This window comes from Homo sapiens, unplaced genomic scaffold (genome assembly GCF_000001405.40).
Source record: "Homo sapiens unplaced genomic scaffold, GRCh38.p14 Primary Assembly HSCHRUN_RANDOM_CTG21".
Lineage (NCBI taxonomy): Eukaryota > Metazoa > Chordata > Mammalia > Primates > Hominidae > Homo > Homo sapiens.
In genome coordinates, this window is record NT_187499.1 from 13,774 (window position 1) to 21,158 (window position 7,385).

General features: G+C 35.8%; 1 pseudogene; it reads right to left on the reverse strand.

Annotated features, from left to right (window-relative positions):
- Positions 1 to 2,293: 2,293 nt before the first annotated feature.
- Positions 2,294 to 6,346, reverse strand: LOC102723462 (putative ankyrin repeat domain-containing protein 20A12; annotated as a pseudogene).
- Between the last annotated feature and the right edge of the window lie 1,039 nt (positions 6,347 to 7,385).

The window sequence follows — 7,385 nt, forward strand, 5'->3', positions numbered from 1 at the left end:
CCTCCTTTCTAAATGCAGCGACCTGTGTTCTTCAGGCCTATCCCTTTCTATTCCTCTGACCCCGCCTCCTTTCTAAATGCAGCGACCTGTGTTCTTCAGGCCCATCCCTTTCTATTCCTCTGACCCCGCCTCCTTTCTAAATGCAGCGACCTGTGTTCTTCAGCCCCGTCCCTTTCTATTCCTCTGACCCCGCCTCCTTTCTAAATGCAGCGACCTGTGTTCTTCAGCCCTATCCCTTTCTATTCCTCTGACCCCGCCTCCTTTCTAAATGCAGCGACCTGTGTTCTTCAGGCCTATCCCTTTCTATTCCTCTGACCCAGCCTCCTTTCTAAATGTAGCGACCTGTGTTCTTCAGCCCTGTCCTTTTCTGGTTTTTTGTTTTGTTTTTGTTTTTTGTTTTGAGATGGAGTCTCCCACTGTCACCCAGGTTGGAGTGCAGTGGCATGATCTTGGCTCACCGCAACCTCCACCTCCTGGGTTCAAGCGATTCTCCTGCCTCAGCCTCCCTAGTAGCTAGGATTACAGGCATGTGCTACCATGTCCAGCTAATTTTTTGTATTTTTAGTAGAGACAGGGTTTCACTATGCTGGTCAGACTGGTCTTGAACTCCTGACCTCATGATCTGCCTGCCTTGGCCTCCCAAAGTGCTGGGATTACAGGTGTGGCCCACCATGCCTGTTGGCTAATTCTCTTTTTAAATTCTCTCAGGACTCCTTAAATCTCAAAACTTTGACCTAGATTCCCAAATCTACATTTCCAGCTCTGACCATTTTCTTGAGGTCTCTTCCTTCTAGTACACATATTATAGACAATATTCTCAACCACATGCTCATACATTGCTAATTGGTGCAGATTACTTTTGTAGATAGTGAATCTTGTCTATTTTATGTTGGTTCTCATTAATGTTACTTTGAGTATACTGTTATTGTCTAATCTCAAAGGGGGACTATCTCACTGTTATGATACTAACCAGTATACTTTGTCCTTTTTTTCTTGCTTTCTTCTTTTTTGGACCAGTATACTTTGTCCCTTTTTTGTTTTTCTTTTTTTCTTTTTTTTTTTTTTTGAGATGGAGTCACACTGTGTCATCCAGGCTGGAGTGCAGTGGCACCATCTTGGCTTACTGCAACTTCCACCTCCTGGGTTCAAGTGATTCTCCTGCCTCGGCCTCCCAAGTAGCTGGGACTACAGGTGCACACCAACACACCTGGTTAATTTTTGTATTTTCAGTAGAGACAGGTTTTCACTATGTTGTCCAGGCTGTTTTTGAACTGCTGACCTCAGGTAATCCACCCACCTCAGCCTCCAAAAGTGTTGGGATTACAGAAGTGAGCCACGGCACCCAGCACTCTTTTTCTTTTATAATGAAAACTTTCCCATGAGAATCAGATTATCAATTGTTTGCCTTTATTTTCTTTTAAAGAAATTCCTTTTCCATAGAGATGTGGCATGATGAAAGTCTTGTTCTAAAGTTTCTTTTGGGGGACACTTAACTATGTCATTGGGAAGCTTCAGTAAGTAGAGATCTCCCTTCTTCTCACTCAATATTCTTCATCTCAAAATGGTGTCCACCAAATGTCTTAATCCAGGTAGTCTCTTGTTTAGAAGTTCATGAAATAAGAACCTTCTCAAGAAGTTGGAGGCTATTGATTGAGATGGTTTAAAGCTGCCCCTTATTATATGTTTTACTCCCAAGGTAGACATCAAAGTGGCTAATAATTCTATGACTGATGTCTAACTCACTTCTATGGGAATCTATAGAAAATGTTTTATTTATGAGACAGAGTCTCCCTCTGTTACCCAGCCTGGAGTGCAGTGGCTTGATCACCGTTCACTACAGCCTCAATATTCCAAGCTCAAACGACCCTCCTACCACAGCCTCCCAATGTAGCTGGGACTATAGGCATGCATCACCATGCCTCAGCTAAGTGTTTAATTTTTTTTTTTTTTTTTTTTTAGAGACCGGGTCTCACCATATTGCTCTGGCTGGTTTCAAACTCCTGGGCTCAAGCGATCCTCCTGCCTCAGCCTTCCAAAACCAGGTGTTTAACTTGGGACTAACATGAAGCACTTAGAAGACTACGTGGAACATAGTGAGCTACATAAAATATTTGCTATTAGCATAATAATTTTATTGCATATCTTAACAAAATTGTGTAAGTTAGGCAGGTGGCATGCCAATGGAAGTATTCTCCTATAGCTGCACTGAATCATTCTTACCACTGAGAGTTGCAGCAAATGGGGGACATAATTTATAACTTACTTTTCTCTCTGTATGACTCATTAGGCAATGACTATATATGTACTACAACGTAAACAGCACCTCCTGGATTGAATAGAACATAACTGACATGACCAGCAGAGACAGGCTAAAGACACTGAGCTGAAAACCCTGGACTCTATTGCTAAATTGAGGCTCCTGAATCCGTTCGCTCTGAGCAACTGTTGCTGTGGTGCTGCCTTCACAAGCACTCTGCTGAGCACTCAGATAGAGGGGCTGTGCTATCCATCAACAGACAAGCTGCAGCCAGAACTGCTCAGCTGACAAACTGGTAGAGGTCCAGAAACACAGTTCTGCTGCATAGTGAAAAAAGGCCAATTTAGATTCTTTTTCATAGAGAGAAAAACATAAACATGTGATTGAACGAGTCTCCTGTATTAGACTAATTGGGTTGGCTTTGATATTTAATTGCTAAAAATACACTTAGAATATAAACCTTACTGTGTCAAGGTCTCAAAGAAGAAATAATTGGTATGGTATAAAGAAGTATTGAATTCTATGCTACAAACTTCTAAGCTAAAATATTTTCAATGTATGCAAGGATAGGTGACATACATATTATATACTATTCCCCCATTAAGCAAATTTATAATGAGAGAAAATTATCTTCCATAAAAAAATAAAAGCCATGTAAAATTAAGGACTAAGTTTTTCTGCACAGACTAGACAACGATTGCTAACACATAAGGTCAACGAGAGAACAGTCAGAGAAAGCTTCATGAAAACAATAAATTGTCTGCCACGTCTGAGTGAATGAGGCTAGATGAACAGAAACTGAGAAGGCAGAAAGGATAGCATGAGCAAGACAAGTGCTGAAATCTGCCCAATTAACTCTGAGGATAAAGTCCAATGGCAGGGAAATAAAAACCCGTGTCCACATAATAACCTGTAAGTGAATGTTCGCAGCAGCATTGTTCATAATAGCTAAAAAGTGGAAACTAACTTAAAGGTCCATCAACTGATGAATGAATGGAAAACCAGTATAGCCATGGAATAGTACATCATTTAACTATAAGAAGAAATAAACTACTCATGTGTGCTAAAACATGCATGAATTCTGAAAGCATTATGCTAAGTGAAAAAGCCAGTCACAAAGGACTACATATTGTATAACGCTATGTATACGAAATATACAGAACAGGTAAATATATGGAGACAAAAGTAGATAGATGGTGGTTGCCTACAACAGGGGTAGGTGGAGGGACATGGAGGAAGGCTGCAGTCATGCCTAGGAGATGTGGGGTTGCTTTTCAGGGTGATGAAAATGCTGTGAATATACTAATAGATACTCAGTTGTACATTTTAAATGGTTGAACTCTCTCAAATGTGAATGATATCTCAGTGAAACTGTTTTTAAAATCCAAAGGCAGGATCAAGATAATTTTCTCAACTCTCAATTTTTGACTTACATGCTATATCAAATCTAAATATTTTTAGAGTTTTATAGTATATTTTAAATTAAAGATAAAGAAAATGCCTAAATTTTCAAATAGTTTGTAAATTAACCTAAAACATGCACATTTCAAAGAATAGTATAATGGCCTTTCTGTACAAGTTAACCTGCAGTCTGTGAAATAAATAGACACAGATTCTGTGTCCATTCACGAAAGTGAAGAAATAAGACAACTTTCTGGAACTTTCCATGAAATATTCTCCTCTGATTTAATCTGGCCTGCCTCATCAGAACAATACAAAAATTACTTAAAAATACTGTTTTTACAGGAAAAAAGTCAGTTTTCTATGAGGAATGATATATAATTCTCCACTTTTCCAAGGGTACATATTGTAACAGAAAAGGTATGTAATGGTTTTTCAAAATGGTAGAATGAAAGTCACAATATAAAAAAATAAGTACATTATAAAGATAGTAAAATGTAAATAATTCATTGTAATGAAACTAAAAAATCAAGCTTCTGCCAAAATTAGTATCCTAAAACACGTTATATAAACTCAACTAGCTACAGAATAAGAGTTGACATGTTAAATTCCATACACACTTGACTTTTCACTTGAAATAATTTCTTCTTTGGGGCCTGTGTCTCATCCAAATTAATGTGATAATGTGACATACCTTCCAGTGGAGACTCTAACGTAGTTAATTTTTTTAGGCTGTCAGCCGCTTCTTGTTGAAGTTGTCTCACAACCACCTGAGAAAATATTTTTGTTACTGATTTTATAAATTGCCTTATTATTAAATTATGTTAATAATATTTAACTCCCTGCCAAATTGGTATTCTCTTACTTACACAACAGGTTCATCCCACCATTCAATCATCTTAGAAGCTCAACTCAACCTCAAAGTGACTAACATATTCAATCACCTTTTCAAATCCTTCCAACAGATTCCTATCTCAGGATAAAAGTGAAATTCCAATGGCCTTTGAGGCCCTAGGTAAACAGTCCTCTACCTCCCTCTCTGACTTCAAAGCTCCTACAACTCCTTCCTGTAATTACTCCATTCCCACTGTACGTGAAGCCTGCCACCCCTCAGTCTGAAAATGGGGATCTAATGCCTTACTCATAAATCACAGGCAGCTACAAGTATCTTTGTACTGAACAAAATTATATTCCAATGATAGTCATTGAGCCTTGAAATAAAAATTATGAGCTAATTATTAATATAAATAGTCAAAGTAAACTATAAATACCAGTGGCAAAACTAAATCAAACATAGTTTTGTTAATTATTACATTCATTCTAAATTATGATTTTATGACATGTAGGTGCCTTTACAACATTACGTAGTCATAAAAATATGTAATTTGAAGTATTTTCAGATTTTTAAAATTAATATGAATAATAACAAAGATATACCAAAAAAAAAAACACATAAAAAGCTACTTAAAGCAAGGTATTACAAGACACAGCAATACACTTCAGTTCATCTGGGAAGTCTAGAATTAAGTGTCGAAGGAAATCACTTAATTAAATTTTAATTTGAAAATACTCATTTCAGGTGTAAACATTTCCATTTATACCTACATTATGGTCTTAACATGTGGCAACATAAAGTCATTAAAATTATTTCAGCAGTACAGAACTATCTATCTTAAAATATGACTCTGTGCCTAATAAAATTTCATAGGTGACACAATGTCTTTTCTCAAAGTAAATCATCTCTCATCTCTACCTTTTATTTCCTAGAAATGAGGCATGTTTCTAAGCTGATATAGTAAACACATTTTTCCTTTTTTTATTAAAACAGCTTTGTTGAAATATAATTTACATACTATAGAATGTATCTGTTTTAACTTAAAGTTAAAAGATTTTTAGTCCATTTACTGAGTTGTGCAGCCATCTCTACAATCCAACTTTACAGCATTTCCATCACTGCAAGATCCCTCATGCCCATTAGCAGTCACTACCAGCTTCTAGTCCCAGCCCTTTGCAAATATTAATCTACTTTTTGTCCCTATACGTTTATCTTTTCTGGATGCTTCACGTACATGGAATTATACAGTATGGTAAACACACTTTTTATCTATTGATTTTTATATTCAACTAAGTTCAACATGTATCCAGAACCAAATGTTTAAATTTTCTTTCTAGAAGTTTGAAAATATTTATCTTCCTTGATACTTACTACTCTTTCTGCTTTCTCTCTCTCATATTGAAAGAGACTTTCTTTTAAATGATCACATTCATTCATTACCTTCTTATTTTTCTCTTCTAGCATGAGGTCTTTCCACTCTCAATAAAGCTTCTTTGGATATTAGTTATTATCTCTTTATGATACTCTTTCTGATGAACATCATCTAGTTGCTGTTCAATGCACGGATTTTCATGTTGGAGTTGACATATTCTCTCTTCTACACAGCTCCACTTTCCAGTGGAATTATTCTCTTTAGCTTCTGCATTTTCATACATCTCTTTCATTTCCTTTATTTGCTGCTGTGTTTGGCTTAGGTTGTTATGTACAGTTTCTAAAGCCAATAACTTTTTTCTGAGAGTATCTCTTGTCTTACGGAACTTATCTTTTAAGGTATTGAATTTAATTTGTGGTTTAGAAAGTTGTTCAGTAAGAAACTCATTCTTATCTTCTACTTCGGAAATATCAGAACTCATTTTTACTTGTACGGAAACATCTTGAGTTCTCTCTAAAGCAAGTTTTAGGTTTCTTTCTGTTTTCACACTTTCACTGTGTTTACTTATAGAAGCAGCCAGTCTAGACTGATAAGATTCAGTTTCAGCTTCCAGTCTTTTGTTGCTTTCTTCTTCCTTCAACAGTCCGGAACTGAGCCTTGTATTCTCAGCTTTGAGATCATTAAGCTCTTGTTGATACCGGAATGCTGTTATTGTTATCAATTCCTCATTGAGTTTTATATACTTTTCAAGGACAGCATTTGTTTCTTTAACAATTTTAACTTCCTTAAGTTATTTATTTTCTTTTTCCAGGTTGTCATTTTTCATTGTGCACATTTCCTGTCTGAATATAGCAATATCTGTATTCAAAATGCAATTTTAATCCATCAGATCTTTCATTTCTTCATGATTATGAAAATCCTAAATAAAACTAAAGAAAGTTTTAGCTAGTACTCAATAAAATATCGTGATTACCTCTGAAGTTAAAGAATAACCTGCACATCCATACACTAAAAAGGTTACTGTAAGTGGATATCCAACTGGAGACAAAGTTGAAGCAACACTTTGAACCTTATAGAGCATAAATTCCAAAAAGTTCAGAAATTTATTTAAAGTCAATGAATTTATAAAAGTAAACACACACACACACACACACACACACACACACACACACAAACCAGAGAATTTTTAAGAATTTCAGAATTGGAAAAGCCTTTCCTTGAATTACAACAAACTGAAAAGCATAAATTAAAGCATTAACAAATTTGACTAAATTAAAATATATCAAAAAATTGCATTTACACTTTGATATCTAACCCATACAACACCCTATAGTAAGAACCTTGGTTCACACGTATTTGGACAGATAAAATTTCCCAGAGTTATTACAGTTCTGTTTTGCTGATAACATTCTATTTCAATTTGACTCTTTTAACACTTTTATATTCAGTCGTAAGAATTACATTTACTAAATCATAAATCTAGACATTATACTAGTCACTCCTATATACATTCATTGATG